The 15,930-nt window shown below is 49.6% G+C and overlaps 1 protein-coding gene across 13 annotated transcripts in view, besides 1 other annotated feature; it reads right to left on the reverse strand.

The window, feature by feature from the left end:
- Positions 1-5,209: 5,209 nt before the first annotated feature.
- The window catches only part of ZDHHC7 (zDHHC palmitoyltransferase 7), a 53,457-nt gene continuing 42,736 nt past the window's right edge, over positions 5,210-15,930 (reverse strand). For 11 of the 13 annotated variants that reach the window (XM_047434355.1, XM_047434352.1, NM_017740.3 and 8 more), the window contains 5 exons: positions 12,905-13,029; positions 10,224-10,320; positions 8,959-9,040; positions 8,130-8,260; positions 5,210-7,554 (listed from right to left, as the gene is read on the reverse strand). In XM_047434355.1, coding sequence (XP_047290311.1) covers positions 7,378-7,554; positions 8,130-8,260; positions 8,959-9,040; positions 10,224-10,320; positions 12,905-13,029 — 612 coding nt within the window. In that variant the 3' untranslated portion in view covers positions 5,210-7,377. Of the gene's footprint in view, positions 7,555-8,129; positions 8,261-8,958; positions 9,041-10,223; positions 10,321-12,904; positions 13,030-15,930 lie in introns of those variants that run through there. The other 2 variants (XM_047434357.1, XM_011523222.3) reach the window with 1 other exon arrangement.
- Positions 7,366-8,565: an enhancer, noted in NCBI's record as "CDK7 strongly-dependent group 2 enhancer chr16:85009937-85011136 (GRCh37/hg19 assembly coordinates)". NCBI's record gives its function as "activates an origin of replication core promoter dependent on BRD2, BRD4, P300/CBP, MED14 and CDK7 cofactors, with strong dependence on CDK7, by STARR-seq in HCT116 cells {active_cell/tissue: HCT116}" and the evidence as "EXISTENCE:reporter gene assay evidence [ECO:0000049][PMID:35650434]".

Genomic DNA, 15,930 nt, shown 5'->3' on the forward strand with positions numbered 1-15,930 from the left:
CCCGAGTAGCTGGGACTACAGGCGCCCGCCACCACGCCCGGCTAATTTTTTTTTTTTTTTTTTTTTTTAGTACTTTTAATAGAGACGGGATTTCACCATATTGGCCAGGCTGGTCTCGAACTCTTGAGCTTGTGATCCACCCGCCTCTGCCTCCCAAAGTGCTGGGATTATAGGCATGAGCCACTGCGCCCGGCCATCCTTACTATTTCTTGAGCACCTACTATGTGCCAAGCATCCTCCTGCCCTTCAGGATTCATTATTGCTGATCCTCCCAGCAGCTACACGAGGCAGAAGTTGTTGTCATTTTACATACAAGGAAACTGAGATGCAGAGGCAGGAGGTGACCCACTCCGGGCCTCGCAGCTGACGAGGCTGGTGCTGGGATCCTGAATAGCCGGCAGATGACCAGATTTGGTGGTTTCTGGTTGCATTGAGCTTGAAAAGCCTGTTCCCCTCCACCCAGGGAATCCCCTACTCTTTCCAATGCTGGGTGCGAAAGCTGTGATTTTCAACTTGGAGCATGTTGCTAAAATACAGATCACTGGGTGGACATCAGAGTTTCTGACTGGGGAGGTCTGGGGTGGGGCTGAGAATTTCCATTTCTAACAAGTTCCTAGTGATGCCGGTGTTCCCGGTCCGGGGAGGGGAATGCACTTTGAAAACCACTGTCCTAAATAAAACAAGTTCATTCATATTAAGGTTTGGGGGACTGAGAACAGCTTCAGTATGAGCCTTCCCCCAGTTAGATGTGATGCTGTAGTGGGGAAGTTACAGGCTGAGGGTGGGAAAGGAAGGGACATGTTTTGTTTTGTTTTGAGACAGAGTCTCACTCTGTCGCCCAGGCTGGAGTGCAGTGGGGTGATAGCTCACTGCAACCTTTGCGTCCTGGGTTCAAGCAATTCTCCTGCCTCAGCCTCCAGAGTAGCTGGGATTACAGGCGTGCACTACCATGCCTGCCTCATTTTTGCATTTTTAGTAGGAACGGGGTTTCCCCATGTTGGTCAGGCTAGTCTCGAACTCCTTACCTCAGGTGATCCGTCCGCCTCAGCCTCCCAAAGTGCTGGGATTACAGGCATGAGCCACTGTGCAGAAGGGACATGTTGAGGGAGGGAAACTGCAAAAAACCCAGCCCTTTCCTGCCCCAGGGCCTTTGCACATCTGGTAACCGCAGCTGCAACCCCTCACCTCCCTCCAGGGCCCTTTCCTGACAACTCATCCTCCACAATATCCACCCTGATAGGGGATATCTCCTTTTCTCAATGCTGATAGCAGAAATCACAGTCTACAAATTGCATATTTAATTTCTTGTATTAGTGTCTTTTTTTCTTGAGTCTCACTCTGTTCACCCAGGCTGGAGAGCGGTGGCACGATCTTGTCTCACTGCAACCTCCGCCTCCCGGGTTCAAGTGATTCCCCTGCCTCAGCCTCCCGAGTATCTGGAATTAAAAACGTGAGTCACCATGTCCCTCTCATTTTTTTGTTTTTAGTAGAGACGGGGTTTTGCCATGTTGGCCAGGCTGGTCTCAAACTCCTGACCTCAAGTAATCCACCTGCCTTGGATTCCCAAAGTGCTGGGAGCACAGGTGTGAGCCACTGCACCCAGCTAATTAGAGTCTACTGAGGGCAGACGCCTTGCTGGCACACGGTAGGTGCTCTGTAAATATCTGTGGACCTACTGAGCAGATGGGCCAGCGATGGGTGAACTTCCCGCGGCCTGAGCAGTGTGTGGGTATTTGCTGTCTCGTGGCGCCCCCTGGTGGCCGTCATGCAGCACACGCTGAGGGGCCAACCCGTTTTCTCCCTGCAGGATAAGTCCCTCACCTGGCACCCACTTCCCATGTGGCCACCATCGGTGACGTGGGCAGATCCACAAAGTGGCAGCTTTTGGCCCCCATGGAGTTCTGTGCTTCTGGATGATCAGGTGAGTTGGAGGAAAGTCCCTGTTAGAGTTTCTCACATCATTAGTAATGGCACCATGATTAAAGAGCTAGTGCTGATCATGTTAAACATAATACGATCCTTGTTTGCTGCCTATGGGCCCCGAGCAACCTCTCTCAGCCTCAGTTTTTCCCCATCTATGAGATGGTGATGATTGCAAGAGTTAAGGGAAACGGTGCGTGTTAAATCAGCACAGGACAGGCAGGTTTTCCATAAAGAAGCGCTGTCGTATTTGGGGGAAATTTTCTCCTGAGCATGGGCTGATGACACCGTGAGAGGTCAGCCCTGTTACTCACCCAGCTGGGCATGTCAGAAAGCTTCTTGGCCTCCATTTCCCCACCTGTGAAATGACCACCTTGGCCACACTGCCTCCCAGGGATGTGGGGGGAGCACCAAGGAACACCAGAGCTTGACAGCTGGTTCCCAGATACGAAGGATGGGGAAAGAATTTTCTGTAGGAGGAGGTCAGACTCCTAGGTACCACCCCCCAGACCCCAAAGGAGAGGGGCAGCTATTCCTGGAAGATCACGGGGTCAAGGACAGCAGGCACTACTCGGGGCAGAAAAGGAGAGAGGAGCTGGTCTATTTACTGCCCAGCGAAGCTTCTGGGCCCTTCTCTACCGAGTCCCAGCAGCCAGTCTTCCAGTCAGGAGATGGGGGCCGCCTCATGGAAAAGCTGGCTCCCTACACAGCCCTGCCAGGCAGTGGGCTGGTGTCTCACGCAGAACATGGAGGAGGGCTTCTAATAGGAAAGCCAGAGAGCACGCAGAGGAGAGAATGCGGAGTGGGGAGCCTGGGAGTACACCACCCAGGAAGCCAGGGGAAATGCAGAACGAAACCCCAGTATCCTTAGAGACAGGGAACAGCAGGGCATCCGCAGAAGACACTCTGGCTGATGTTTCCTCAAAAACACAAAGGAAAATAAAAAGCTTCTGGAAATTAAATCTACCATAGCCTGAATTTTAAAAAACATCCAGAAGAGCTAGAAGACAAAGCGTGGCGTGGTGGCTCACACCTGTCATCCCACCACTCTGGGAAGCCGAGGTGGGCGGATCACTTGAGGTCAGGACTTCAAGACCAGCCTGGCCAACATGGTGAAACCCCGTCTCTACTAAAAATACAAAAATTAGCTCGGCGTGGTGGCACACGCCTGTAATCCCAGCTACTCAGGAGGCTGAGGCAGGAGAATCACTTGAACCTGCAAGGCCAGAGGTTGCAGTGAGCGGAGATCGTGCCACTGCACTCCAGCCTGAGGGACAGAGCGAGACTCCATCTAAAAAAAAAAAAAAAAAAAGCAAAGCTAAAGATTTCCAGAAAACAGAGTGTGTAATAAGAAAATCAGAGGATCAGTCTAGGTGGTTCAACATGCAATCTTAAAATTAAGAAAAAAATGGAGTGAATGGGATTCCCAAAGACATAACACAGAATGTCTGCCAGAACCAGAAAGCTGAGTGTCAGGTGGAGTCTACTGAGCATCAGCACAGCCAGCGGGAGAACTGAGGCCAAGGCACCTTGTCGACAACCCTGAGAAACCGAGGAACTAAAGAGAGGCCGTGGGCCAGGTGCAGTGGCACACGCCTATAATCCCAGCACTTTGGGAGGCCGAGGTGGGCGGATCACTTGAGGTCAGGAGTTCGAGACCAGCCTGGGCAACATAGCGAAACCCTGTCTCTTCCAAAAATACAAAAAAGTTATCTGGACGTGGTGACAAGGGCCTGTAGTCCCAGTGACTCAGGAGGCTGAGGAACAAGAATTGCTTGAGTCCAGGAGGTGGAGGTTGCAGTGAGCTGAGATCACGCTGCTGTACTCCAGTCTGGGCTGAGATCCAGCCTGGGTGACAGAGCAAGAACCTATCTCAAAAAAGAAAAAAAAAAAAAAAGCTAGGTCACACAGCACAGGGGCCAGGAGAGTGTGGGCTCTCCATGGCTGCTCTGGGAGCCAGAAGATGGTGGGGTGGTGTCTCCAACAGGCTGAGTGAAAAGTACTTAGCTACGCCATCAACCAAAGGTGAGGCAGAATAAGGTATTTTTAGGTGAGCCAAAATACCGGAAACTTGAAGAATAAGGCACCCCTTCTCCAGCAACTCTCAGGGAGCGGTTATACCACTGGAAGGATCTGGAAGGTGTAGACCCTGGGACCCAGAAGATTGAACCCACCAACCCTGCAGAAGCCAGGCCCTCTCAGCAGGGAATGGGGGAGATGGTGCAGATGCTGCCCGTGGCAGAGGCTGGCTGGGGTGCAGGCACTCAGCGACAGCTGGAACAGGCACACGAGGCAGCTTCACCTCTGTAAAAGCAAAAAGTTGGACCAAAAAATCAGAGGCCCCTATCTGGTTTAGCAGCAAAGTATTCAGTCATCACAACTAAACTTGATCATGTACGAAACGTGGGACGCACATATATTCGGTGAATGGGGAGGGGAGAGCAGGCAGGAAACCCGGAGTTCTCTGGACTGCAGATGTGCTGTGCCTAGAACTTTCTTCGGAAACTTGCTGGCCCTTTTGGGAAGCCGCCTGCATGGGCCTGTCGGGCCTGACCGCTGAGCTACTCGCTCTCTTAGAGCTCAGAGATTGGCTCAGCTTTCAGCGCCCAGAACCAGCCACACGGAAAACCAATTTTCCCTTGGCGTCTTCAGGTTGTCTTGGCTAAAATTAGCAGCTGGATGAGGGGCATTGCGGTTTTAAACAGGCTCCTCAGGAGATGCTGTAGGGCGCTTGTGCTTTTTTTTATGGGCACCCTGCTTTTTGTGTGCGGCTCCCAGGCTACCCTTCAAGCTATTTTCCCCTGCTTCCATACCCAAGCCAAGTTCATGTACAATAGAAGATAGGATTTAGCCACCTTCCTATTTGGAGGATATTTTTGTTTTGTTTTAATGCAAGCGTCATCCTTCTATACAATGAGCCTACATAACAATCTAATATAAGGAATACAAATAATATTGCAGCAAAATTCGGCAGAGCCACAAACACAAGCTGGAGGGCTGCTGCCCATGCAGCCGCCCGGCTCAGGTGTGCGCCTCCGTGTTCGAGTCTCCTTCTCATTTCCGCGTGTCTGGAATGCCACCAGGAGCCCCAAGGCACAGCACGTGCGAGGCAGGGCTGCGGCACACACTGACCATCTGGCCTCTGAAAGGTAAGCGAGGCAGGGCTGCGGCACACACTGACCATCTGGCCTCTGGAAGGTAAGTGGGCATTTTGGTTCCCTCAGTGCAAATGTTAGACAAATTTGTTGAATGAATTAAAATCAAATTGTAGGTACTTGAGATTCTGAACTGTGGAGATTTTGAAACATTGTTTTTATTTCAACGTGCACTAAAAAAAGGACTAAGTAAAACGATGGGAGTCGAATTAAACATTCAACAAGCAACAGTACTCACTGGGCAACATTTGTGAGTCGCGCTTGAGTGCCCAGGTCACTTGTCATGGGCACAAAAGCATTTAGAGTTTCTGGAAACTGTTTGGGAGTGACCTTAACAGCCTGGGGCTGGGCCCACGAAGCACGGAAAGGCACCCCCTGAAAACACCACCATCCAGGAAGAACGGGCGCTTTGGAAGCCATTTGAGAACTGTTAATTGATTACTTTATTTCATATAAAAGTTACATTGAAAGAAGAGGTTGAAAAGTCAAGTATACTTGATTTGCACACACTTGCCAAGTCTCACAGGATTCAACCACTTGGATAATTGTTTTATTGATAACAGGATATACATATTAAAAGCCTCACACTGAAGCCCACACGCATGTCCAACCCAGACAACAATGTGCAAATGAATATGCAGAACAATCTCGGAAACTGGCGTCTCCAGGATCACCCACACTTTGTCCCTCTGGCTGTGACGCAGCTCTTCCCCCAACGGCGCACACGCTTCTGCGGTGACCAAGTCCACTTCCAAACCCCCTGCAGGTTTGCTCGCTTGGCTAGGACGGTGGCTCAGGTAGGTCCCTTTGTGGTTTTGCATCAGCAGTGGTAGAAGCCCTGATTCGGATGGGGTACAGAGTAATTAAAAACAAAAAACAGTTCACAGATGAACAGAAAGGCAAAACAATTCCCAGGAGGGAGACGCCAACTTCTCTTAGTGTGGAGGGCAAGCATAAAGGAAGACCCTCAGACTTTGTCACAGATTGCTTCTTGATGCGTCCGGCAAAAAATGTACAAACCAGGCAAGTTTAAGGCAAGGCCCCACGAGGGGAGCTGTTGGCTTTCTGGCATAATTTTAAGCTCCGCACCAAGGATCCTATTTTATCACCTGTGCCGTGGGTGGAGAAGAAAACGTAAAAGCTAACCAAAAACTCCAACAAGAGGGCGCCATCCTGGCCATTCCCGACTGGAGCGCTGCCTGCGGTGGCACAGTCGCCCCTGCCAGGGGCTGGCTGCCTCATGGTCCCCTCCCCTTCCCAGAGGTGCCCAATGGCTGGGCCCTGCCTCTCCAGTAAGGATGCCTCCCCTGCCCCACACACAGCATCGGGCTGCCCCAAGTATCAAGTCACCGAGCCGCAGCTCTGCTCTTACCTAGGTGCCATTTATACACTGCTAATTTGGCTGGAACAAAAAAAAAAAATCAGTTCCAAGGCCCTCAAGCACTCAAGATTTCTTTAAAAAATGAAAGCAGGAGGGCAACGAAGGGCCGCACAGGAACGGCTGTTCTTTGGATCGAGATGTCCTCCAACAGCAATACATTCATAGTAACCACGGGCAGGACCCCGCGGCTCTCTCCCCTCTTCCCTGAAACGTCGGTTTCTAAAAAATAGCTTGTTTGCTGTACACAGCCGGTAAATGTTACATTGCCTAAACAACACTGGCAATTTTGACACACATGCACACACGCGCGCACACGCACAGACACGCACACACACAGACTTGCTGAGAGGGTCAAAGGATGTCTCTTCCGGGGCAGCGGGGAGTGTGCCGGAAGCCACCTTCACTGTTCAGTGCACAGATCTTTTGCAACTTCAGTGCAAAGCATCGGAGCTAATCGAGACCAAAACGTCTTTCTATGTAAACGCCCTGCTGTGATCCGGGGAGTGCACTGCTGAGTGGCGGGGTCAGCAGGAGCCCCCTGAAATGACTGCTTGGAGAATCCCTGTTCACTGGATTCACTGTTTTTCTTCATGATTGGAAACAGCAGCTCAGGACCCAGGATTTGAATAACCCATGTAATAACCCGAAGTATTCTCCACAGAAGCCCCAGCTCTGCAGGAGGCCACGGCGTTTGGCTTCTTCGTGTGGCCACACACCTTTCCGTTGTTGTACAGGTGGGGACTGAGAGCCTCTTCCTCTGCCATCTGTGACTATAAATATATAAAACTCTGCTTGCTGCAAGCAATTGGTTTGTGTAGGTTCCAGTTGCCCTGTTGGTCACAGATGAGCTGTTGATATCCTTCAGACCCCAAATAAATAACTGGAAGTCTGTGAGCAAGTTTCAGTCTGATGAGCCACGCCTCACACTGAGAACTCCGGGCCACCTTTTCTGGGTCTCGTGGGCAGTCGCCTAAATCGGAAGCCCACAAAGGGATTCATCCAGAGGAGTGAGGGGGGCCCCCCAAAGACGGACTTCATCCCTTCCCATCGCAGCCTCCGCTCCCATGTGGGCTTCTCACTTTTCAATCGCTCGATCTCCTGGAAGCAGAAAGAAAAGCAAGTGGCAGCGGCTCCAGGAAGCTCGGCAGACCCCACCAAGCCTCAGAATCACACCGTGCTCAAGCACAGTGTGGGCTCGATGGAGGGTAGGTGAGTGAACTCTCCTTCCCAGCTCTGCCCCGATCCAGACCCCGTGGCCTCTGTGAGCCCAGCCCGGCTGCAGCCACGTGGCCAGCCCAGACTACCACAATGGCCCTCCCAGCCAGGCACCAACATTTGTCGCTCGTTAGTTACTGTGTACAGACATTTACTGAGCGCCACTCCAGGCCTGCAGAGCCAGGCCCTAAAGGCAGTCAGTTCCCTGAAATTTACTGACTGCACTGGGAGCTGGGAATCTGCCTGGCTCTGCTGACTTGCAAATCAAACTGAGACTAGAAATATGCACTGCCCAGAATGAAAGAAACAGCAAACACAGGGAGCTGGTTGCAGCTCATCAAGACCGTCCCATTACGTTCCCGAGTCAGTCCACAGGCACCTATTGTTGACATTAGGACTTTTCATTTACTCAAGCTTGGACCACATATGAAGTCCACACAGCCGAGAACAAAGCTTACCGTCTCGTCGTTGCATATGGAGTGGATTTGGGTGCCAAACATAACTGCAGTGAAAGTGAAAAACAGAAGACCCTCAAGGCACAGGAAGATCAACAGGATTACAGTTATCGGAGGTGAAAAATCACTGCATTCTGCGGACAAGAGGAAGTTGGTTATAACTGGTCCTGAATACCCCGAGTGGCAGAATGTTTGGCTCAGAGAAGAATCCTCTAGGGCCAGCCCCTGGCCAGCTTCCAGGGGGAAGTTGTTCACTTTCTAAATGGGCACATTCATTGTTCTCCAAGGAGCAGAGGAGGGCCACCCTTCCAAGCAAAAATTCATACCATGACTTCCTGGCCAGTGGTTTCAAAAGAGTCTGTATTTTCTGAGGTTTCTATTGACACTGTATTTATGAATTAAATGGCAAATGAAGCCAGACCAGAAGAGTTGTGTGCACCCATACCAGTGAGCAGTGCTCACAGGAGTCTGTTCACCATGTTCCCCTGGGGTGGGATGAGCCTGTCCAGACCTCACTGCATATCTAAGGTAGGATAACGAGCACCTATTTTCACTACACTTGCTTAGGGTCGGTCACTCACGTAAGCAACGTGAAGCCTGCTTTGAACAATGGCGAGCTAGCTGACCAGCAGACAGACACAAGCTTTTGGGGCAACAATATACTAGTAAAATGGTGGTGTTAAAACTTAACTAAATTCTTTAAAATTCAATTGCTAAAATAATTGCAATGATTTCCTTCAAAATTGGAAAACTGGTTCTTCCTTTAAAGCTTTCCCCTTTCATCCAATAACAGCATGCAAAGCCAGGAATGACACATAGCCAGGGAACTTACCAGTCCACTGCCCTCGGACACAGGAGATGAACTGAAATCCACAAAGGATCAGAGCATGGACTGAAGACAGAGCTATATACATCTAGAATGAGGGGGAGATTGGTTAGTCACTTTTATTTTTTATTTTTTTTAGAAACAGAGTCTCCCTCTGTTGTCCAGGCTGGAATGCAGCGGCGTAGTCTCAGCTCACTGCAACCTCCGCCTGCCAGACTCAAGCGATTCTCCTGCCTCAGCCTCTCAAGTAGCTGAGACTACAAGCACCATGCCCGGCTAACTGTTTTGCATTTTTAGTAGAGATGGGGTTTCACCATGTTGGCCAGGCTGGTCTGTAACTGCTGACCTCTAGTGATCCACCCAGCCAGTTAGTAACTTAAACAAGTCTTTCTAAGAGCAAAGGCTGATGACACATCATGTGTATACCTCCATCTTGTCAGAGAAAAAAATGAGGGAAGGATTAAATGGCAGCAGTTGACATTTTCCTACCCAAGATCATATTAGACCAAGTAGAATAATTTTATAGAAAAATATAGCTGGGCATGGTGGCTCACGCCTGTAATCCCAGCACTTTGGGAGGCCAAGACGGGCAGATGGCTTGAGCTCAGGAGTTTAAGACCAGCCTGGGCAACACAGCAAAACCCCGTCTATAAAAAAATAAACGGCCGGGCACGGTGGCTCACGACTGTAATCCTAGCACTTTGGGAGGCCGAGGTGGGCGGATCGCCTGAGGTCGGGAGTTCAAGACCAGCCCAACCAATATGGAGAAACCCCATCTCTACGAAAAATACAAAATTAGCCAGGCGTGGTGGTACATGCCTGTAATCTCAGCTACTTGGGAGGCTGAAGCAAGAGAATCACTTGAACTTGGGAGGCGGAGGTTGCAGTGAGCTGAGATCACACCACTGCACTCCAGCCTGGGCAACAAGAGCAAAACTCCATCTCAAAAAAAAAAAAAAGAAAAAAAGAAAAGAAAAAGGAAATAAACTCTAACATACTTTAGGAAGATTCCTGTTATTATTAATAAACAATAGCGATTGAGGACATCTGGGAGAGAATTAAATTACAGTGAACACCTAAAATAATACAAGCAACATATTACTTATTGGGACTACTTCCTGCCAATGACAGCACAGTATTATAATTTGAATCCTGGAGAAAAGGCTGGAGAGAAACTGGCCTGACGTTAGTAGATTTCTCTGCTCCAGGCAAGAAGCAGTTAAAGAATTTCAAATTCAATGTAAATTCAATACAAAAATATTTTTACTTACAGTGAAGAGCACAAAAAATCTTTGATTCTTTTCTCCTACACAATTGTTCACCCACGGGCAGTGATGATCCATTTTCCGAATACATCTTTTGCAAATACTGAAAAGGAGAGTTTGATTTTTCAGTATTCCATGCTCTGAGGAAACCAGAGTAACACAACCAAATAAAATCAAAGGTGGAGGAAAATTAGAATGTATATTCTAATACAACATGTCAAAAAATATCATACATTCTCACTATATTCCTTTAAGGTTTATCATTTTAATTAAATGTCTTCCGTTTCCTAAGGAAAATACTCAATGGACCAACAGCTTGGGGCGAAAGGTCAAACTAAGCCATACTTCACGAGTTCTCAGACACTCCCCCAGTAGAGCTGGATCATGTACACCTATCAGTAATGTTCCTAATTTTGCAAGCTTACAAGTCTATTTCAATAAAAAACAAAAACTGAAATTTTACCCTCAAGGAGAAACATTCTTTGTATCTTCAAATAATTCCTACCACTGAATCCATATTCACTGATGAATATGCAGTATGGATTGCATATTCATCTTGAATCATCAACTACACACCCAGGCATGAAGTCGTCTTGTTTTTAACAGCTGTATTTTACTTTTGCCCAAAACACTCTGTATGTCCAATTTTAAATAACTAATTTGATTATCGATTACTTTTTAGTCCAAGCTTGCACCATTTAATTACATCAAGCAGACATCGATGGCAGCAGGTTCGCTGCAGGCAGACTTGCTATCATAGCGTCACCTTTTTTTTTTTTTTTTTTTTTTTGAGATGGAGTCTTGCTCTGTCGCCCAGGCTGGAGTGCAGTGGCGCAATCTCAATCTCAGCTCCCTGCAAGCTCTGCCTCCCGGGTTCACGCCATTCTCCTGCCTCAGCCTCCCGAGTAGCTGGGACTACAGGCACCAGTCACCATGCCCGGCTAATTTTTTTTTTCTATTTTTAGTAGAGATGGGGGTTTCATCGTGTTAGCTAGGATGGTCTCGATCTCCTGACCTCGTGATCCGCCCACCCCGGCCTCCCAAAGTGCTGGGATTACAGGCGTGAGCCACCGCACCCGCCCATAGCGTCACCTTCTTCTTATTCATTGACCTTGGCTCCCTGCCCGACCTCCACAGCACCTGACTTCCAAAACATTCCCATTTTATCTTCAACAGATTTATTGAAGTATAATTTATATACCATAGGTCAGGCGAGGTGGCTCATGCCTGTAATCCCAGCACTTTGGCAGGCCGAGGCAGGTGGATCACCTGAAGTCAGGAGTTCGAGACCAGCCTGGCCAATGTGGCAAAACCCCGTCTCTACTAAAAATACAAAGATCAGCCAGGCATGGTGGCGGGCGCCTGTAATCCCAGCTACTAGGGAGGCTGAGGCACAAGAATCGCTTGAGCCTGAGAGGCAGAGGTTGCAGTGAGCCGAGATTATGCCACTGCACTCCAGCCTGGGCGACAGAGCAAGACTCCATCCCCCCATCCCCAAAAAATTTATATACCATAAAAGTTCACCCATTTGCAATGTACAATTCAATGATTTTTATTCTATCTGCAGAGTTGTGAGACCATCACCATCTAATTTTTGAACATTCCCACCATCCCAGAAAGAAACCTCACCCCATATGCAGTCACTGCCTATTTCTAACCCCAGCCCAAAACAGCCACCCATTTACTCTCCGATACCATTTCATCTTTCTTTACTTTCTGGCCAAACCATGAGGATATGAATCTCTTAAAGCTTTCACTCCAGCCATAAAGCAGTCAGCACCCTGTATCTGGGTTTCCTCCCGTTGGAGGCCATCAATGGCTTCCAGCCTATTCAAGCAGGCCACGACCCCCCAGGAGAAGGGCACTGTCCAGGTGCAGCCTGTCACACAGTACAGGGACGTGTGACAACTATTTCAAGGAATGGAGAAATACACCCAGACATTCACACTTCAACACGTGAAATCAACAGCCAGCCCCTCCAGGAGCAGAAAAAGGAGTCAGGAACTGGCAAATGTGGGGGAAGAGGATAAAATGCAACCAAGACCAGCAGGGGTGAGGTGTGAGGGCCAGGAAGGCTACTTGAGCCAGGCAGATAACTGGACTGTGGCTTTTAAAAAATACAGTAACTGGTGTTTGAGAGCACGCCCAAATAAATACAAAAAAACAAAACAACAAAAAAATGAGAGCACATCCAAAAGAACCTTGCTTCTACGCTGCACCACCACCCCAGGTAAGAACAAAAGTGAACGCACAACAGCCTCTCTGGCTGGCTGGAAGAACCCAGAGCAGGAGTGAGGGGAAGGTTCTGAGCCTTTCTTCTGGCCCCCACACAGGATGTGCCCAGGAGCTGTGAGCACACACGTGCTGGCCTGTGTGGCATGTGTGCCACAACAGAGGCGGGAACCTTGTCACCTCCTCCAGTTGTTGAGCCACAGCGAGTCCCTCGGGAAGGAGGGGATCCCTGAATCCATACTGTTTCCCAGCTCCCAAAAAGACTCTAGGGCACCGGCCCTTTACTCAGCTCCCTACCCCAGAAAGAACATGACACCTACGGCCCCGCCCGTACAACGTTGCCCAGATGCTCGGGGGCCATGTACCTACGGTGGTGGGCGCACTCTGGTTTAATACAGCAGCACACGTACCCGCAGTGGCGGATGCGCTCGGGTTTAATACAGCAGCGCACGTACCTGCAGTGGTGGGCGCGCTCGGGTTTAATACAGCAGCACTTGGGGCACTTGTAGATGACTTCCCCGGGCTTCAGCTGCAAGCTCTCCATGTATTCTTTCGTAGCGTTTCCTTTGGGTACTGCCCCCTACCATATAAGAAGAATGTACTTTAGTTGGGGAGAATGAAAGTTAAAAACATCAGGCCGGGCGCAGTGGGTCACACCTGTAATCCCAGCACTTTGGGAGGCTGAGGCGGGTGGATCACGGGGTCAGGAGTTCAAGACCAGCCTGGCCAACCCAGCCTGGTCAACATGGTGAAACCCCGTCTCTACTAAAGATACAAAAAATTAGCCAGGCGCGGTGGCAGGCGCCTGTAATCCCAGCTACTTAGGAGGCTGAGGCAGGAGAATCGCTTGAACTCAGGAGGTAGAGGTTGCAGTGAGCCAAGATCGCGCCGTTGCACTCCAACCTGGGCGACAGGGCAAGACTCCATCTCAAAAAAAAAAAAAAAATCATATATTTTCTATATCATCAAACAATTAAAAAAAACTACCTTATTATCCTTTTGATAAATGGCTTAACCACCTGCATTTTCAGAGGCAAGGCTTATTCCCAGACAAGGGCACTGACTGTCCCCAGGTGGGGCAGGGAACCTCTTTGCACACCACTTCCCTGTAGCCCCTGCTGACAGGGAGGTGACTGATAAGCACTGCCCAGAGTTTTCTTATCGGGCAGTCGGGGAACAAAGAACAAAACAATCTCAAAAAGGACTTTAATTTCGTGTTGCTAAAGTGACATGATACTTTTGTCTCTTGGCCAACTTCCTCAAAGGCATTCACACACAAACCTGGAGGTGGCGGTCCAGACCACCTGACCCGATTCATGTCTGGCAACGAGGCCGCCCAGCGGCATCAGAAACTTGAACATGCATCCATCTGTGCCCCAAGTGCTAGAGGAGCTGGAGAAGATGAGCAATGGCGAAGCAGCGGAAAGAGGAGTTGGGGAGGCTGTGAGCTGCTGGTAAGGGGCAGAGCTGAAGGCCAAGAGTCACCCTACCAGCACCATGTCAACTGAGGACCCGCTGTAGGGAAGGTAAGGCCAGAGCTGGCTGCAACAGCAGAGGCTTTGTTCTTTGGGCAGTGGAGATAAGTCATCAAAACCATGTTTGTGGGAGACAATTCTGGGAGCTGTGGCAGGGTGGAATAAAATAGGCAGACCTGCCTGGGGGTTCCAATGCCTCAAGAAGAGGAACAAGGCCTTGTGTCTGCCTCTTAGCCTGGATCCTGCACTTCACGTAGAAATCACAGATCTGGAGAATGAGACCCACGGACACTGGGAACAGCAGTCAGGGCTGCAGTGATTGTGCAAAGACAGGGGATATAGGTGGGGCAAATGGAAGGTGGGAGCTAACAGCCTGGGAGATGGCAGAGGTGGTGAAGGGCTCTGCCAACAGCAGATGGCCCTGCTGGAGCTCCTTAAAATGCAGGTGCCTCGCTGGGCTCCGGAGCCACAGATCTGAACCTCTGCAGGGTGAGGGTTGACATCCAAATTTTAGAAAGTTCAGCAGGTGAGCGCCCTGCAGAGCCAGAGACTGCTGCCCGCTGGATTCAGGGCTACCAACAGGCCAGAGCTGGAGCCTTGGGCAGCACAGGCAGGGGGGCCCCAGGGCAAATGTGAGTGTTGACTGCCCAAACCTCCCCTGAGGTTTACTTCCTCCAAACAAGGCCCCGTCAGTCCCATGGCCGCAATATGGGGAAGCTGTTTTGGTCAAGATCAAAGTGTTTCCTAACATGCTGCCTCCTTAAAGAAGTTAGAAAAGGGTTTAAACTCATCTTTGAAAACTTAAATCAGAATAAGTAAAACATTTTACTGGCTGGGCAGGGTGGCTCACGGCTTTAATCCCAGCACTTTGGGAGGCTGAGGTGGGTGGATCACGAGGTTAGGAGTTCAAGACCAGCCTGGCAAAGATGGCGAAACCCCATCTCTACTAAAAATACAAAAATTAGCTGGGCGTGGTGGCCTGCGCTTGTAATATCCCAGCTACTCGGGAGGGTGAGGCAGAGCACCCGGGAGGTGGAAGCTGCAGTGAGCCAAGATCACGCCACTGCACTCCAGCAAAAAAAAAAAAAAAATTTTTACTTAACTTACATTCTACAATTTAGAGTCTTTTTTTTTTTTTTCTTTTTGTTGAAACAGAGTTTTGCTCTGTTGCCCAGGCTGGAGTGCAGTGGTGTGATCTTGGCTCACTGCAACCTCTGCCTCCGGGGTTCAAGCGATTCTCCTGCCTCAGCCTACCAAGTAGCTGGGATTATAGGCGTGCGCCACCACACCCGGCTAATTTTTCGTATTTTTAGTAGAGACGGGGTTTCGCCGTGTTGGCCAGGCTGGTCTCGAACTCCTGACCTCAGGTGATCCAACCGCCTCAGCTTCTCAAAGTGCTAGGATTACAGGTATGAGCCACCGTGCCTGGCCTGGAGTCTTCAATCAACTTTCCTCCAACAATCTAGGGATCTTAACACTGCTTTGATTTATAAAATTCCACAATGTTGCATATATGCCCCAGGTGACAGTCGAGTGTTACACATCTCCTCAGAGGAAATGGGCCAGATTTTAAAACTCCAAACACCGTAATTTTATGAGCCATGCATGCACTTTTCCACAGCAGCAGCAAATATGATACGATGTGGCACGATACACTTCTGGAAAGCGGCTACCCCAACGCTACCCCAGTTTTTGGTCACTTATGACCAAGGAAAGGCATTTCGAAGGGGAAGCCAAGTACACATTGGGTGATCCTCAGGGACCTGAGACTATGTGGGATTTCAGGCACTTGCTGGGTCCAGGGATTCCTTTTTGCTGCTCAGAACCTTGGGCAGACAATCAGTGAAACTCTTCACGGGCATGGTGTCCTGGGGGTTTCAAGGAGGGGTTCCTTCCACCTGAGGCCCCGAGTCTATCACCTACATTTTCATCCTGAGCCTTTCGAGATGTGGTTTGGCAGAAACAGAGACCATATGCAGAGGGGGTGTGCACGGCTGCACCATCTC

The sequence above is a fragment of the Homo sapiens genome, chromosome 16 (assembly GCF_000001405.40).
Source record: "Homo sapiens chromosome 16, GRCh38.p14 Primary Assembly".
Taxonomy (NCBI): Eukaryota; Metazoa; Chordata; class Mammalia; order Primates; family Hominidae; genus Homo; species Homo sapiens.